At 45.6% G+C, this 17,792-nt stretch overlaps 1 protein-coding gene across 18 annotated transcripts in view, besides 1 other annotated feature; it reads right to left on the bottom strand.

The window, feature by feature from the left end:
- The window catches only part of DLG3 (discs large MAGUK scaffold protein 3), a 60,656-nt gene that overhangs the window by 8,249 nt on the left and 34,615 nt on the right, over nucleotides 1–17,792 (bottom strand). For 10 of the 18 annotated variants that reach the window (XM_006724625.3, NM_020730.3, XM_005262248.5 and 7 more), the window contains 4 exons: nucleotides 4,959–5,135; nucleotides 4,646–4,721; nucleotides 3,767–3,866; nucleotides 21–62 (listed from right to left, as the gene is read on the bottom strand). In XM_006724625.3, coding sequence (XP_006724688.1) covers nucleotides 21–62; nucleotides 3,767–3,866; nucleotides 4,646–4,721; nucleotides 4,959–5,135 — 395 coding nt within the window. Of the gene's footprint in view, nucleotides 1–20; nucleotides 63–1,788; nucleotides 1,835–3,766; nucleotides 3,867–4,645; nucleotides 4,722–4,958; nucleotides 5,136–17,792 lie in introns of all 18 variants that reach the window. The other 8 variants (XM_011530883.2, XM_017029322.3, XM_047441888.1 and 5 more) reach the window with 3 other exon arrangements.
- Nucleotides 16,689–17,190: an enhancer, noted in NCBI's record as "NANOG hESC enhancer chrX:69699902-69700403 (GRCh37/hg19 assembly coordinates)". NCBI's record gives its function as "activates a minimal SCP1, AML or CMV promoter by ChIP-STARR-seq in naive H9 embryonic stem cells {active_cell/tissue: H9 hESC(naive)}" and the evidence as "EXISTENCE:reporter gene assay evidence [ECO:0000049][PMID:30033119]".

Genomic DNA, 17,792 nt, shown 5'->3' with positions numbered 1-17,792 from the left:
AAGGAATGACACACACTTACTGGAACTGCTTTCGCTGTCACTGGTGTTGGATGTCACTCCCTCTGCAAGCCAACAAGAAAGAGACTCCAATTCAGAACACACCACTGAGAGGTCACATGCAGCACAAAACTCAAATGCTCCAGGAGCGAGACACTGAGCTGCCAACTGAGTCAGGCCACCAGAGGCCTGCCACATCCAGGCTACCAACTGGGAGGCACAGCTCCAATCCTGAGCCCCTGGCCCTCTCGTACTTGTCCCCAGAGCCCTCTTGGTCTGCCAAGTCCCTCCCTATGTACTACAAGCCATACTTCCTTCAGCAGCATCCTCTTCATCTGAATCAAATTGACCTGGATGGTTTCCAAATCGTATTTCAAAATGCATCTCCCAAGGCTAACAACAGGAAAGAAAAGACAGTGACAGGAGCAAAGAGAAGTCCAGGGACCAGTCTGCTCATGGGTGTCCCCCGCCCAACAGAGCCCCTGAAGTACAGAACCATGTGGCACTCCACAACTAAGAGGCCAAACGCTGGATGGGTTAAGCAGACACCAGGGAGCGCTGCTCTGACCATTCGGTGGGCTCCCCAGCCTTCCTGCCACCACTCCAAAGCAGGAGAGCCTGGCTTCAGTGGTGAGAGGGGAAGCATCTCCATCCACCACCAGACACATATGTCAAAACACAGACAACAAAACCAACAAAAACACCTTGAGGACAAGGCAGCCCTCCTGTCTCACACAGCTGGGATCTGCCCATCTCTTAGTGGTGAGGGAAAAGAAAGCTCAGGCGGAGGAGCAGCGCTCGTAGGAGGCACAAACAAAGCCCGCCCATCCAAGATGACACGCGAATGAAGATGAGACATGGACACACCAAACTATGGAGAGAGATGCTGCTCATTTCAGCCAAGACCACACTGTTCCAGACCATGATATGCTGTGGCCCCCCCACCCAGAAAGGACTGGCTGAGTTGCCACACATGGCTAGTTCCTGAACAATCCCCATGGGCAACTCCTTTGCCTTTGGTCTGTATTATTTATTGAAGGAGAGTATATGCTGATAGAACCCATTTGGTGTCTGTGCACCCTTGCACGCAGCAGGATGGCCACTAAGGCCTCATCATCTAGGTCTTTTTCATTTTCCACTCCAGGATTCTTTTCCAGAAAGGAAAATGAGGTTGGAGTTTTCCTGAGATAAAGCACTAACTATATATGGTCCATAAATGATGCTGAGGCCCCTAGCAGACCAGCTCAACCCCTTACAGGTGCTCTGTGGGAAGCCAAACAGTGGCTGTTTGCTGAGGCCCGGGATCTGCTGGGACATCTCAGATGCAGGTTGGGAAAAAGGGGTCACAGTACCCTTGCCCCTAGTTAGAGGACTGTTAACAGCTGCAATTCCTACACCCAATTCTTTAGCGTGGTATCACTGGGAGAAGAATCCAACCAGCAGGCACCCCTCCCTTCGACAATAGGCTAGAGATTAGCTGAGTGGTTACCTTGGAGAAACATTTCAAGCTTACTTCACTTCTAAGGTGGGATGCCATGCTCACGCCCTCCCACTTTGAGTAGCAAAAGGTAAACAAAGGCATGAATGATATGGACTTATTTGGGTACTAGGGATCCATAGCAAACATGTAACATATGGAGCCACATGCACTTCTTCCTGCTGTGATGTCAGAGTGCTCACAAACACTGCCCTCCCCTCACCCTTCACCCTCACCCATGTCCCCAATAGCCCCACCCCCACTATCTCCATTCATGCCACAAGTACAGTGAACGGTGTGTAAGTTGGACTTACTCAGGTTCTTTGCTCCATAATAATCGTCACTTAACCCCGGGAAGTCCTGATTTCACAGACAGCAAGGGCGGAGAGAGGACGACGGGGAGAAGAGGGGGGAAGGGGAAGGGATGGGAGGGAATGGAAGAGAGGGAGAGATTTGGGGAGAAGAGAAAAAATAGAGAAAAAGACAAGGGGGGAGGAAGAATACAGAGGTAGGTGAGCACTAGTGACAGAATTATGAAACACCATGAAGACCTAGCACTATAGTGAGGCCAGGAACTTTGCCACAGAAAGAACATCCCAGGGCAGATAAGACATCAAGACTTCATGCTGCCCAATTCATTGCCAGAGGGCCTTGGAGTAGACTAGCTTTCTGAGGTGTCTACAGCTGTAGGCCAATGGGACAGGACAGGTGACACTCCAAGGCTTAGAGCACCTGCTTTGACTAAATTTTGGTTGTGGAGCCCAGGTCTCTGTTTGCCCCTGAAATCACCATTTCCCTCTGCAGTGCGTGAAAGAGCAAATGTCCGCGTGTGCCAGGTAGGCAGATAGAATTGCCATCACCTCAAGAAGCCTTTGCCCAATACTGATTCACTCTGTTCAAACCCTTCAGGAAAAGTTTCGCATGGTGTAGAGTGTGGCCTCCAAAGCTGCCCTGAGCTGGACAGATCTTGGGGGATGAGCTCAGCTTCTGGAGAAGCACTAGGCACCTTCAACTCTGTCATCCAGTAGATACCCCCTCGCCCACCAGGCGGGACCACTGAGCAATGAACACCTCCCCAGGCTGGGCTTGGCATGGAGGGACTCTGGGACTCATCTGATGAAACTATGGTGACATCACCTCAGGCCTCTGACTCAGACTGTCTCCTAACTGCTCATGAGCAGAGCCACCCCGTCTATGGCTTCTCATTGAACTACTCCAGGATGATGAGCCGTGGCTGCCATCTAGATGAGGGCACCCTTCTGTCCACCAGGTACCACCCCAGATAGCAATGACTTACACATACCATGACTGTGGACCAAGCTGGCCTGACAGAAGGACATTTCCTATCAGAACCAGTCAGTCTCCTGCCAGCCCCAATAGACCAAGACCCCAAGATCCCTCCATGTAAGACAGAGGAGTCACTGGTAAATGAGAGATGTTTACTGTTCATGATGAGACAAGTGAGAAGACATTTTTCAAGCCAGACCTGGTGTTTAAGGTTAAGGTTGGAGCAGTTAATTGCTGAGGCACACGGTAGAGCAAGAAGATTTATCAGGATTAAATTTCTTCTTCCGTTGAATTTAGCTCAGTGTGACTGCTCTTCCTACCGAACCAACTTTGTGTTTCTCAATAGATCTTTATTTGAACAATGTGGAGCAACACTCCTTCCATGTCAACTCATTTAAGCAGGAAGGATTCTCCTGGGAAAACTGGCTCTGTAGGCACTCTAGGATGACAGCGAGTCTGCTGAGAGTTGTGTGGATATCCTGTATGCTTATGCACGTGCATGGGATTCCAGAAGTAGCCCCAACTCCAGGGATCCTGGGAAGAAAAGGCTCTTCTCTTGACATACATGAGTGAAGTTAAGGGAAAGAAAACACAAGAGGAAGAAACCAGGAGAGCAACACTGAGTCCCTAGACCTTGTTCTCTTGAAAAACCATTTTCCTGACCCTGACAGTCTAGCTAAAAAACCGTTCCTCACCACCACAGCAGAGCTCTGTCTGGCACTTCCACTGCTAGTGCCAGGCACTTCCTGGAGGCTGACCCTGGGACCAGTCCCACCTCAGTGCCTCCAACATTCATTCTAACTGAGGAGCAGGACAAATAAAACCCAACATCTCCTTAGGCAGACCAGTTTCTGCCCTGACTCTGTAGATAAGCAGGTGCACACGCACACAGGCAGGCACGAGGCCACACGTGGCCCTGCCCAGGCTTCTCTCGAGGGAAGGGCAACTGAGGATGAGAGGATGGGGCTGCAGATGGCCTGCTCTCTGGACTCTGCTGCTACTTACGTTCCTGTATGCTGCTCTCCTGGGCCATGTTTTCTTTGCTCTTGTAAAATGGAAACTTTCGAGAGAGGCGGAAACTCTTTTTACGTTTCGTTTTGATCGACTGTGAAAGAACATGAAGATGGAGGGGAAGGACAGAAGAAAAAAAAAAACAGAACAATGGATTTTAAAGCATGCAAGAAAAACTAAAATGGAGACAACGGTGAGCTAAATAAAAGACCATCTCTCACAAATGGAGTCTATGAGATTAAATGAAAGTTGATGTAAGAGGAAAATTATGTTTACAAGAAAATGTTGTAGGGATGTTAGAAGTTTCTACATAATCCAGACACTCATAACACTCACTGGTACTTCCTAAAGAACAAAGGTCACTGTAGCCTCCTGGACACATGCCCTAAGGTACCACTGATATACACATCTACTCCACGTCTCTCTTCCCTCTACTGCTCCAGAAGTTCTTTGGCCTGTGAAGCTCATAGAAAAAAAGGGGTGAATGGAGAACCCGCCTGCCTCAGGTGGTCTGAAGGGAGGTGGGAGCTCTGGAGCTGGGCTTCTTGGCCGGATGCTCTGACAGGATCTATAGCCAGGGAGACACCCACGAGTGGTTTCATTTTCCCCAAGCAAGTCAGCCTTCCAGACAGTCCAACTCTAACACATCTTCAAGAGCCGGTACCCAGGGGAAAGGAGCACAGACTGGCTGTGAACTTTAAGAGCTCCCTCTCTGCTTTCTGAAAAGCAGTCAATGTTCTGATAGGACAGAGCCAGCCCCCTGAAAAAGAGATTTTCTTTTGTGTTCCCCAGTTCTCCTACACATCAGACTAAACTCCAGGCTTCTCAACCCTCTTTACCTACTGGCTGATTTCCTTGGGGATCCCCACTTACCCTGTTAGACTCAATCATCCCCGTCCTGGCATGGAACTTCACAGTTTTCAATCGAGCTCTTTCTTTCTTTTCCACCCTGTTTTGGAATCAGAAAGAAGTCCTGTTACTGCCAGTAAATGGTCTCAGCAGTGGGTTGCAGCAGGCACAGCAGCCATTTTTTTGGCTCACTGAGTAAAAACCATGTTGAGTACCGACTCTACCAAAAAGGAATCAAGGCACAAACGTTGCTCTCAAGCAACTTCTAATAGGAAAACAAGAAAGAAATACCAGCAAGAGGGCAGGAAAGGCCTTGCTCATGATCATGACGACTCACCTCTTCTTACTGGGGATCACACCGATCTGCTCACTTTCTCCGTGTGGGGTCACCAGCCTTGCCTGCCACCACTCATCATCAGAGGCATTAATGACATGCAGAATGTCACCATAAGAGAAGCTGAGCCCCTGGCTTGGCAGGCAGCTGTCCCGAGTCCGATCATAATCAAACAGGGCCCTGAAAGGCACAGTGAAAGATGAAGTGATCATCCAACCCTAAATGCCAAGACACTGGCACCTTGAAAAGATGGAAGGCCAACCCAAACAGCACAGACATAGCAGCCTCACAGTATACTAGAAGGATGTCTCCAGGAGACCACATCCTTCTTTCTGAGCCAAAGTGGTAAATATGCACCCGCTTTCAAAGAAACATCTCATTCTCCCAATAAGAAGCATAAGAGAAAATATTTTACAAACCCCATCTCCTCTTGGCTTCTGGATGCAAGATAAAAGTCCAAAGTAGAACTCGCTCAATAGCCCTCTCCCTCACCCACATCCTAGGAAACTAGCTCTAGCAGGGCGCTTTCTCAGTTCACAAACATATCTTCAAAAAGTAGCTAAAGAGAGGACAAAAAATGTTAACTACAATCCCAAACAATGACTGGTAAACACTCCTGAAGCACTAAAGAAAGGGCCCTATGTCCTCGGGCAGCCAAAGAAAAAGCACAGAATGGTAGGGTTGAAAAGACCAATGGGACCATAGAAGTCACCTAGTGCGGTCTCTTTCTCTTACATATGGGGAAACAGAGGTTCAGGGAGGAAAAAATAGTTTGACCTAGGTCATACATCTAACCAACCTGGGACAAAACCCAGGTCTTCTGACAAGACATGCTGTTGTGACATGCTATAAATGATGCAGAGTAAAGAAATAAAAGGGAAGGTGGGAGAAGGTGGGGAGGGAGCTATACAATCCAGGCTTATGGAAAAGGACACCAGCTTGGCTGATGCTAGAAGTCCTAGGAAATGGTATTGGAAATAAAGGTCTGAAGCAAATTTTGGAAGCCCTTGAATAGACAAGATCTAGTGGCCCCTGGAAATCTGAGAGGAGTGACACATCAAAAGAGCCTTAGGAGGTCGGGCGCAGAGGCTCACGCCTGTAATCCCAGCACTTTGGGAGGCTGAGGCGGGTGGATCACCTGAGGTCAGGAGTTCAAGAGCAGCCTGGCCAATATGGTGAAACCCCATCTCTACTAAAACTACAAAAATTAGCTGGGTGTGATGTTGCATGCCTGCAGTCCCAGCTACTCGGGAGGCTGAGGCAGGAGAATCACTTGAACTTGAGAGGTGGAGGTTACAGTGAGCCAAGATTACGACACTGCACCCCAGCCTAAGCGACAGAGCAAGACTCTGTCTCAAAAAAAAAAAGCCAAAAAAAAAGTTTCTACTTTTCACATCCAGTGGAACCTGTCTTCATATGGAGTCACCACAAATGGGTGATTTCAGTGAGAAGTTTGTATTTTTCTACCTGCAATCTAGGCTGTCTTCTTCATATTCTCTGTTAATAAGGTGTTTTCACACCTTTGCACACACAGCCCAAAATCTAGTTCCAAGACTTTGACTTCTACCTGCAATACTGTGGCCTTTGGCTCAGTTGGAAGCTGCAAGTAAAACACACTATCTTACCATATGCAAGCCCAAATGAGATAGGATGTAGTAAAACCATGAAGAGTGAAATACTCACCTACTGCTTACAGCTCTTGAAACAGAGTTCTTAAAAATCAGCGTCAGATGATTTGAAAATGAAAATACCCAAACTCTAACAAAAAGCCCTTTTTTCCCCTCAATTTACACACTCAAAGCAGTAAGGAGAATGGCAGAGGCAGCAGACAAGGAGGTGCTGTCCGAGAGGTGCATTCCGGGCTATGTGTGACAGAATCAAAACTGAATGCATTCTCACTGCCTGAGTCCTGCATTTCCTAAAGCAAGGAAGACATTCTGTCAGCCACTCCTACTAAGAAGAGCATCATGAAGCAACCTCATTCTCAGTGACAATGAGAAACACTGGATGTCATTATGGGTTTCAAAGATTAGAACAAATATAGTAAGGAAAAGAACAGAACTTGAATTAAGCACAAATTAGTTTGGTGAGAGAAGGAAGGAAGATGTTAAAATGAATTTAGGAGGCCGGGCGCGGTGGCTCACGTCTGTAATCCTAACAATTTGGGAGGCTGAGGCAGGCAGATCACTTGAGGTCAGGAGTTCGAGACCAGCCTGGCCAACATGGCAAAACCCCGTCTCTGCTAAAAATACAAAAATTGGCCGGGCATGGTAGCGGGCACCTGTAATTTCAGCTACTCGGGAGGCTGAGGCAGGAGAATTGCTTCAACCTGGGAGGCAGAGGTTGCAGTGAGCCGAGATTGCGCCACTGCACTCCAGCCTGGGTGACAGAGCGAGACTCTGTCTAAAAAATAAATAATAAATAAATAAAATAAAATGAATTAGGGGAGTTAGGATGAATTTGTAGAAGATTAGAGGGCGGAGTTTACTGGTTGTAAGTTTAAAACACAAGATACATTTTAGCACTTCCCAGAACCATGCTTGACCTTTGGCAACAGCAGTAACAAGCTGAAGTGTATAAAGTAGAGTTGACGTAAACATGTTTTCTAGATGCCGGGAATCCAACTGTTTGTAATTTTTTAAATATCTGAGCTTCAACTAAAATTGATGTAACAGTTTACTTCCGGCTGGGTGGGGTGGCTCACGCCTGTAATCCCAGCACTTTGGGAGGCCGAGGCGGGCAGATCATTTGAGGTCAGGAGTTCGAGACCTGCCTGGCCAACATAGCAAAACCCCGTCTCTACTAAAAATATAAAAATTATCTGGGCGGGGTGGTGGGCGCCTGTAATCCCAGCCACTTGGGAGGCTGAGGCAGGAGAATCGCTTGAGCCCAGGCGGCAGAGGTTGCAATGAGCCAAGATTGTGCCATTGTACTCCAGCCTGGGTGACAGACTGAGACTCCATCTCGAAAACAAAACAAAACAAAATAAAACAACAAAAAAAAATTAAAACACATACAGCACAAGCTAAGTAAAAACAATATAAACACAGATCAAAGTCAAAAAGATTTTGCCAGTAGTTAACTCTGCACATTGGGAATTGTACTATTCGGGCTTATGTTTTTAACCACAGCATGTGTTCCTTTCACAATTTTCAAAAAACATTAAGCCAATTAAAAAAAAAGTGGGGAAGCAGATATATCAAGCACTGGTTTGAGTCATTTACTTCAGATGAGGAACACGTTTGGTTCTAAGTTCCCTGGCAAACAAGGCAAAAAAGGAAGTTGTCTAACTCTAATTTCCCAATAAAAAATGGTACCCAAGTCTATCTGGATTTTGTTTGATGAATTTATGAATACTGAATGGACAAGAAATATGAACAGGATGGACAATGCTTTTTTAAGCTATGGTTTTGTAAAAGACATAGAAATGTAGTATCTGAGGTTTGAGATTCTGAACTAGACTATTATTCACAGTTGAGAATGCAAAAAAATTGAACAAGAATTTCCTTTTCTATCAATCAGAACTGCAAATAGAAAAAGAATTTTGCAGACCGCTAAAGCCTCAGAGGTCATTTTGTCCAACTTTCTATCTGATAAAGGAAATCCCTTAGATACTCTCTAAGTTTCTTTCCAGCTCTAGTATTTAATGAGTCTGAGTCTTTCCTAGATCTTCTCTACCAGGCTAATCATTCCCAATTCCCTCAACAATCCCTTCCTTTGTCATAACTTTTATTTGTTTTCCAAACCCATGATGTGGATTTTCTCTAAATCTACTTTGCCTCTTTTTCCTGCTTAAATTTTGTTTGACTAAGCTAGAAAATTTCCTCAAAGACAATGAAAGCCAGGCCCAGATATGCACACAGCCTCATCTAGAACTGCACACTGGGTGACTCTCAGACCAGGGCTCTTCTATCTCAGAAAATTTCATAAGGCCTAAGTCACAGTCACATGTGCTTTTTCAAAAAAAGCTAATTATCGGCCGGGTGCAGTGGCTCACATCTGTAATCCCAGCACTTTGGGAGACTGAGGCGGGCGGATCACAAGGTCAGGAGATGGAGACCATCCTGGTCAACATGGTGAAACCCCATCTCTGTTACAAATACAAAAATTAGCTGGGCGTGGTGGTGCATGCCTGTAGTCCCAGTTACTCGGGAGGCTGAGGCAGGAGAATCGCTTGAACCCAGGAGGCAGAGGGTGCAGTGAGCCGAGATCACACCACTGCACTCCAGCCTGGTGACAGAGCGAGACTCCATCTCAGAAAAAGAAAAAAAAGCTAATTCTTCACTCAGCTACATGTGGAAAAATACCATTCTTCCACTATTTAAATACTTAGTCTGGTTGGGTGCGGTGGTTCACACCTGTAATCTTAGCACTTTGGGAGGCTGAGGCGGGCGGATCACCTGAGGTTGGGAGTTCGAGACCAGCCTGATCAACATGGAGAAACCCTGTCTCTACTAAAAAATACAAATTAGCTGGGTATGGTGGTGCATGCCTGTAATCCCAGCTACTCGGGAGGCTGAGGCAGGAGAATCGCTTGAACCCAGGAGGCAGAGGTTGCGGTAAACCGAGATCGCGCCATTGCACTCCAGCCTGGGCGACAAGAGCAAAACTCTGTCTCAAAGAAAAACTACTTAGTCTTCTTTATACGGAGTATGTGTTAGATACATGGGAGATACAAGAACAAAGTTTATTGTCTTGTGGAGCTTACTAGGTGACAGAGGGTGTAGTATACTAAGGATGTTGTAGCAAGAAGCCCAAAAGGAGGACAAACCAAGGCCTAGAAGGATTCACAGGGAGTACAGATCACATCTAGTTTGGGGAAGCTACAAGGAGATACTGCTTTTTGAATTGGTTCTCAATGAAGATTTAGGATTTCAAAAGGTAGAGCTGGGGAGAGGTCCTTCCAGCTAAAGAGAACAGTGTAAGCAAAGGTCTGGAGGCAAGAAGCACAGGGTTATTTTCAGGGATCAGCCGTGCATCCAAGTCTGGCTGGGCCTCAGAGAATGGCAGGTTGGGGCCTGACTGTGGACAGCCTGCACTGTCCAGCTAAGGAGTTTGACATTCATTTAGTAGGCTTTATGGGACCAACTTCATTACCTCAGCTTTCTTATCCCATTATCCGGCTAAACTTTCATGTGGAAATAAAACCAGTAAAAGAGAGTAGGCCAGCGTACTAAAGTCAAACAACTTCTCCCATGAGATATATTTCGTGTAACCAAAAAAAGTATGTAAATTAGACCTTAATAATTTTTTTAAAAATATTGACTGCTTTCCTAAGATCTTTAAGAAGCAGCTAAACTGTGGCCATCTAGCAGTGACAGTCTGTCTTAGGAACACCCTGGAATCCTAATGAAGTGACAGGGACTGGCACCTCTCACAAATAAATGGCTCATGGTAGGTTTGATGAGAGGAAGAAGGAATACCTTTTTCCACAACACTGATATATTCTCCTCTTCCTCCTTTTATCCTTAGGGCAGGCACTAGAGAAAGTCAAGGCAGATACTCCCCTTTCAAATCAGGCTGAACCACTGTCCCAGGACGGAAGTCCTACACATGCAAGGCCCACATGACATAGCAACCAACCATTTCAACCTGACTCAAAATTAGAGTGAGCATGAAAAAAAAAAAAAAAAAAAGCAAAAGGTATTTGTCTCTTAATACCTAAAGAAAGGCCGCAATTAACCAACTGCCACCCTGGTCTCATTATGTGTGTGCTTGTGTGTGTGCACATGCGCACATGCATGCATATCTGTGTGTGTTTCAGCTTATCTGACAAGATAATGTGTTGGGAGAGTAGAAGGAAGTCTCAAAAACTCATATTCCTTCTGTACTTAAGATAAAAATAATTTCATTGAGGCCTCCAAGTTAGGGACTGGTCACATCAGAGGAAAACACTGTGCCATGAGAGAATAAAATTCATGGAAATATATTACCATCCCCAGCCTGAAGTCACAGTGCTTGATGTACAAGAAAGATGATCTGCCCCTGAATATGTTACTTCTTAGTTATGGCCACATATCTCTACGAAGCCAGGGAGAGCCAGAGCCTGGGTATTCCTGGAACTTTTCAAACATCAACGCCAGGCCAGAAAAATATTACATTCTTTAAGAGCAAGGGAAAGAGTGTAGCCCAGGGAAAATGTGACATGTAAAAACAAAGTGATGGTAGGCTACAAAACAGCTTTCCAGAGCTGTCATACCACCATGAAGAGCAGATGCAACTTCCAGGGGATGTGCAGGTTTGAGTTCTTGAGCTCATCTTCAGCACTCTAGCTCTCAAGGCTGCTGCTTGTCTCCCTAAGGAGAAAGTGTTCCCAAAGGTCTTGAAAGACAATGTTGTTTAAGAGGTGACCTTTAAAAATATCCTCGAAGGGATGCATGCACCCACCCACAGGGATAATGTACGTGCTCTAGAGGACTTTGTCCAGTCTTCCTTTCAGCTGGGTCCTCTCTGCTGGATGGAAAAGCAAGAATATAACCAGCTCAAAGTAAACAGATTATCAGGCAAAAGTCCTTGCAGTTGAGATCCTAAATTGTGAGATTTGGGTTGGAAAGATCCAGAGAAATTATAAGCACTTGGCACAGCCACCGTGATGTCTTAATGAACCGGAACGCAAAGCAAATGGTAACTAAGAAGGAAACTGGTCAAGCAGGTTTCTCGATGCAAAGCAAATGAGCATTTTAGCGCTATAGCCTCAAAGGCAAGGGGTTGCTTCTGCTAAAATAACCTAGTATTGTGCCCACCTCTCTACCTGTGGCTCGAGCCATCTGTCTATAGCCTGAGATGCTCCGTCAGTCCCCTCACCCAGCTCAGCAACTCCTCTGAGGCCCAGCCTAAGTCTCTCCCAGCTTTGTGATCCTGCCCACTCCAAATTTCATTCTTCTAAATCCATACTGTATTTGCTACCACATTTGGCAGCAACCTTTCTTTATATTTTCTACTTATTGCTATTTAATTCTTGCAAGGTTTTTTTAATGTTTCATATTACACCGCCAAAGTGGAAGCCCTTTGAAAACTGAGACCATGTCTTATGCTTCATGTGGGATTCTGAATCCTTGTGAATGGTGGGTGAGACCTAGCTACAGGGGATGGAGTGTCCACAGAAGACCCTCCCAGTTACTCCCTAGTTTCTAACCCTGAGAGTGTTCCCTCCCATAGTAACTGGGGCCTAAGATATCACTTTATTCCTTTGGCCAGAAAGTACTGGATAAAGGGCACACATTATTTGACAACTAAGCAGCCCATCCCTTGCCCAGTCTGTATAAAGCATGCACAGAAAGTTATAAAGCAACAGTCACTCATCAGCCCTTGACCTTAGTAAGAATTAAATTTCCAGCAGCCTCTGAAGAGCAGCCTAACAGCACAAACCCGAGCACTCAGACAGGCACAGTGTGGGTCAACACAAAAGGAGTGATCGGGCCTCCCTGGTGTATCTTGAAGAAAGGTGCATGGAGAGCAGGTTAAGAGCACCTTCCTCCTTTGTCTGTCTCAAAGTGTCAGGCCTTATGGCAATTATGATGTTGGAGAGGCATTCAAGGACCAATTAGCCCGCAATGAGCGACTGTTTGGGGCTCACAGCACTTGCAGATGATAGGATGAGCTGAGGGATTATGAGTGCAAGCCCAGGACTAGTGTTTGGGAATAGGTAGTTCTAGAAATCACTGATGCAGGAAGCTCTGCCCCACCCTCTGGTAGCCCTGAACACTTACATACATTATTGTTGCTTTTTAAAATACATATTATCCCCACCCCCAAATTCTATCAGCTAGTGAAGCCTGCCAATATTTCCCCATTGGCATCTTAATACACTATTGAAACTCATTAACAAGCAAGACCAAGTCAGGCTCCACCAAGCACCACCCTGGGCAAAGCAGAGTAGTTGCACAATTAATGTCTGCTTGTTGACAGGAATGAGCATTCTCCAGCCTTCTTTAATGAACAAGCCAATATGTCTGACATTGTTTCTTGAATCAAGACTACAGATGCTCTAACATGATTTCCTTCCTAAGACGACTGAGATGGCAGATGGCCAGTCAGGAGGCCAGGACTCCCAAACTACCTGAATGCCATCCTATGGCTGCAAAGAATGCAGCCAGGCTAGCCCGAACGGACTTTCAAAAGCTATTTCTACAACTGTACTCTTGAGCCTCTTGGCAACCTTTGGAGCACAAGGGTCTTTGCTTTACTCATTCAATAAATTAAATTAAATTAAATTAAATTAAATACAAGTATAGAACAAGGTCATCCCTGGAACTCTAACTTACTCAGTGTCTTTGTACTGCCTTCACATCAGAATGGTCTGAGTTAAACACCTACCCATCCCAACCCTAAGCAAGAAGTTCAAGAGAGGTTTATTTCTGTGGACTCTTCCAGTGGGCAAGGCAAATCCTCCAGCAGAGCAAAAGCCCTAGGCTGGGCAGACTGAGGTGCTGTGCTTATCCCGGTCATCTACTTAAGAGATAATTCTAGCATAGTGAAGTGTGAGGAAGGTCCTTCCAAATAAGTCACTGATGACTTTAAAATCAAATTTCATTCTCCAAATACTGCTCTCGTTCCTTCTTCCTCCTGCTCCCTGCTCTACAAACCCCACGTCCCCTGTGGTTAGTACAGCTGCAGCTCCCTAGGGTTTCACCTGTTAGAGCCTCTGTTGCAGCTCTAAGAGAGTGTTATTTACTTCAAAATAGCTTTGCAAACACATGTACACCAAAGGGAGATAGATACTCAGGGGAGGGGAAGGAAAGCAAAATAATCATGTCATAGGGAAAGCGACAGCAAAATAATCAGAGGTGACACCCAAACTGAAAAAGGGTTCCCTCACTTTAACCACCTGCCGCTTAAATCTTTTCTGGGTAGATGGCGAACTGCCAGAGGGCAGGGACCATACCCGCTGCTTCCTTGAATATACCCTGCAACTGTGCCCAAATTCTTAGCCTTGTGTTTTACTGCTTTCTACATAGTAGGAGCTAAAGTAAGTGTGATGTTTATTTTTTATAATTTTTTATAGAGACAAGGTCTTGCTCTGTTACCCAGGACGGAATACAGTGTCATGATCATAGCTTACTGAAGTCTCAACCTCCTGGGCTCAAGTGATCCTCCTGCCTTAGCCCCCTGAGTAGCTGGGACTACAGACACATGCCACCACACCTGGCTAATTAAAAACTTTTTACTTTTTAAGAGTGGGGCTCACTATGTTGTGCAGACTGGTCTCGAACTCCTGGGCTCAAGCAATCCTCCTATCTTGGCCTCCCAAAGTGCTGGGATTACTGGTGTGAGCTGCCACACCCAGCCTTGATTGCTTGTTAAAAACATATATTTTCCTGGGCAGGGCGCGGTGACTCATGCCTGTAATCCTAGCACTTTGGGAGGCTGAGGTGGGCGGATCACGAGGTCAGGAGATCAAGACCATCCTGGCTAACACGATGAAACCCTGTCTCTACTAAAAATACAAAAAATCAGCCGGGTGTGGTGGCAGGCGCCTGTAGTCCCAGCTACTCGGGAGGCTGAGGCAGAATGGCGTGAACCCAGGAGGCGGAGCTTGTAGTGAGCCTATATCGCGCCACTGCACTCCACTCCAGCCTGGGCGACAGAGCGAGACTCCGTCAAAAAAAAAAAAAAAAAAAAAAACACCACACATGTATTTTCCCAAACCTGATGAATCCAAAGCACTAGAAAAGGAGCCTGGGAATCTGTATTTTTACTAGCATTCCAGCTGATTCCTATGAGGAAGTTGGGGAAACACTGAAAGAACCACACTTTATAGTCAGAGCAACCAAGTTCAAGTTCCAGTTTTTGAACTTCTTAGCTATCTAACTGGAGTCTCAGTTTTCTCATCTGCAAAATGGGAATCATAATATCTACTCTGTAGGATTATTAAAGGGATATTAAAAGCCATTTAAAGAGAATAACAAAGGTCTTGATGAACAATGTGTTCCCTAAATGTTTGTTCCCCTTTATCTTGAAGACACTGAGGAACTAGTGAAAGCTTTTGAGCAGATCATGTTCAGATTATTGCTTTAGTTTCAACCCCCTCTGCAATACCCAGGCAAATGGTTGCCCAGCCTCTTCTGTAACACCTTGAGTGACTAAAGATCGAATTTACTATATCCGGAAGCAGTCCATTCCATTTTCAGACAGTTTTAATCATTAGCTCTTCCTTCCTTATGTTGAGCAGAGATCTGCCTTGGGTGACAGAACAAATCTAATCCCTTTTCCACATGATAGGGTGAGGCAATTAACTTAGATAAGGAAAGTACATGCCGCTTGTTTGAGGCGCTGAGAGGGCAGTTTTATTTATGCACATGTCCAGCAAGTAGTAGATATGCAGGTCTGTAGTTCAGTAAAGAGATCAGGAATGTCATTTATACGGCAGGATTTGAAGCTGTGAAAATAAATGACATTGCCATTTAGGGGGGCAGAGCTAATGAAAGGTATTAAGGAATGGTAAGCAGGGTAGAAAGAGAGCCTTTAAAGAAGAAAGCAGGTAATTCATGGAAACAAATGTGGTGAAGAGGTCAGAACAATGTCAGAGAACCAGTGAACCAGTCACTAAATTTGAAGACTAAGAAGTCACCCACTGATCCCTGACAGAGAGTCAGGTTTCTGCTCCCCTGGAGCTTTCCAGAGCTGTTCAGAGCCACACTACCACACTGAAAAGCAGATGCACGCTTCCTTTCGGGCTAGTGAAAGAGAAGTGATTTGAAGCAGCAGCAAGTACTCCAACATTTCCCAACCTGGATGTTGACATAGGTTTCTCAAATAAGGCTCCCACGCTCTATCTTTTGGGGAAACACTGCCTAGTACAGTCCTTCCTGGAGATTAATCACAGGAAAGAGCCCCATTTTCCTCTGTTTAAGCCTGCATTTGCCCAACTTACTAAACCACTGATTTTTCACACAATACTTAGTAATATCTTGAGGAGCTAGTGTTTTCTGGCCAATAATTTGGCAAATGCAGTAAGCAAAGGGATACAAGACAATAGTTTAAGGGACTATTGGTATCAAGGGATATTTTCTTCTTTTTAAGAATGGAAGAAGCTTAAATATGTTTACATGCTGAAGAAAAGGAACCAAGTGTAGAGTGAAGGGCCAAAATCAGGAACAAAAGGGAAGAGAGTAAGCCAGGTTCTGATAAAGGGGTTAGCTTAGCAAAGGGCCTCAGCTCAATGCTTTAGCCATAAGACATTAAGTGCCCCTGATTAAATCTAGTGATCACAAATGGTTACTATTTTCCTAACCACATCTACTTTCCTCAGAGGATACAGATAATTTATCTAGAGAAGGTTACGGGCAGATTATATAAACTGATTCACTAGACACAGTCATGGTCTCCACCCTCGCCCCAGAGTTAAGCTAAGTGTATCCCTTTAATTCCCTTGCCTGAGCCAGGGAAGAGTGCTCCATATCGGGAGCCAATGTCCCACTCCCCCTGCCCAGGCAGAGAGAACTCTAACACAGGATAGGCGGAGAGGGGAAATCTAAAAATAAAGCTCTCCAAAGAAACTGTCTTGCCTAAAGAGCAGCTTCCCACGCACACTGGAGTGCCACATCTGCGGGGGCTGGAAGCACGGAACGGAACAATCCTGACCAAGTCATATAACCATTACCTATTTTGGGGGGTCGACAGTGCATTTCTGATTTCACCCATCAGCACCCCAGTATCCAGGCTGCAGACTGGGAGCAAGGGCTTTAGTGACAGAAAACAAAACTTTCCTTTCCGGGGAATTGGAAAAATGACCAGTGACTAGTCCCGCCTTCCTACCATTCTCCCTTCACAGCGGGAGGTAAGCATAGCACATGCTTTCAACACACAAGGGGTGGAGTTGAGGGTTCACATTAGGAAAGATTGTGAAGGGTTCTAGTGGGCTTCAGGCTCAGAGATGGGCTCCTTTAGCTCCACTCCCTGCGGTAGAGTCAGGGACCACCAACTGGGGAAAAAGAAAAGCAAGCACCATGAGAAAAACTGCAATTAGCGTTGACATCCCTTCACTATTGTCCTCTCACACCCCAAGGACAGAGCAGTTGTCACGTTGCCAAGCAACTAGCAAGTGCAACTTCCCAGCCAGGTATCAGAGGCCACTAGAAAAAGTTCAGCCCAAGAGTTTGATATGACCCCACACCTAAGCATTAAACACAATACTGTAGCAACTTCTGGCTCAGGAGAGTAATCCCCACCACCTTTCTCTAAGGGCTTTAACCTTGGAGGATACAATGTACTTGGCACCAGATTTTGGAGTTTTGCCAAGAAGCCAAAGCAGGAAGAAGGAAGCTATCCCTAATTCTATGAGGAGTCCACAGTATTCACTTGGCACTCCAACTCCCCAGGAGATTTGTACTTTGACCTGACAAAGTATTAAGCTATGCCTCAAGGGTCAGAGAAGCTCAACCTTGGAAATATCTTGGAATAGCTTTCAGCAGCAATATACTCCATGCTACCTATCTGTTCCCTCCACCCCCTCCCTCTTCCTAGGGCACATACACTATACATCCCATGATTCATAGATACAGCAGACCAGTGCAGCGGGTGGTGAGGGGGGAATGGAATCACAATAAAACATCCAGAATGCAGCAACCTGTCAGTTCTTTGGTCTCTTAAAAGAGATCCTGTACCAGAACACTGCGATAGTTGCTATGCTCAGATACAAATCCTGATGTCTATTATGCATACATGGAAGGGGATGGGGGGGTGGCAAGTTTCCCCTCAAAGCACAGATTGCAAGCAAAGTACTTTGAACATTTGACTGATATTTGAATGCTGACTAGCAACAATCACCCAACAGTCTTTTACAATTAGAGCAAACTGAAATTTTCCCATACTGAGTCATTCATGAGCTAAAAGGAA

The sequence above is a fragment of the Homo sapiens genome, chromosome X (assembly GCF_000001405.40).
Source record: "Homo sapiens chromosome X, GRCh38.p14 Primary Assembly".
NCBI classification, from domain to species: domain Eukaryota; kingdom Metazoa; phylum Chordata; class Mammalia; order Primates; family Hominidae; genus Homo; species Homo sapiens.
This window is presented reverse-complemented; position numbering and strand designations above follow the sequence as displayed.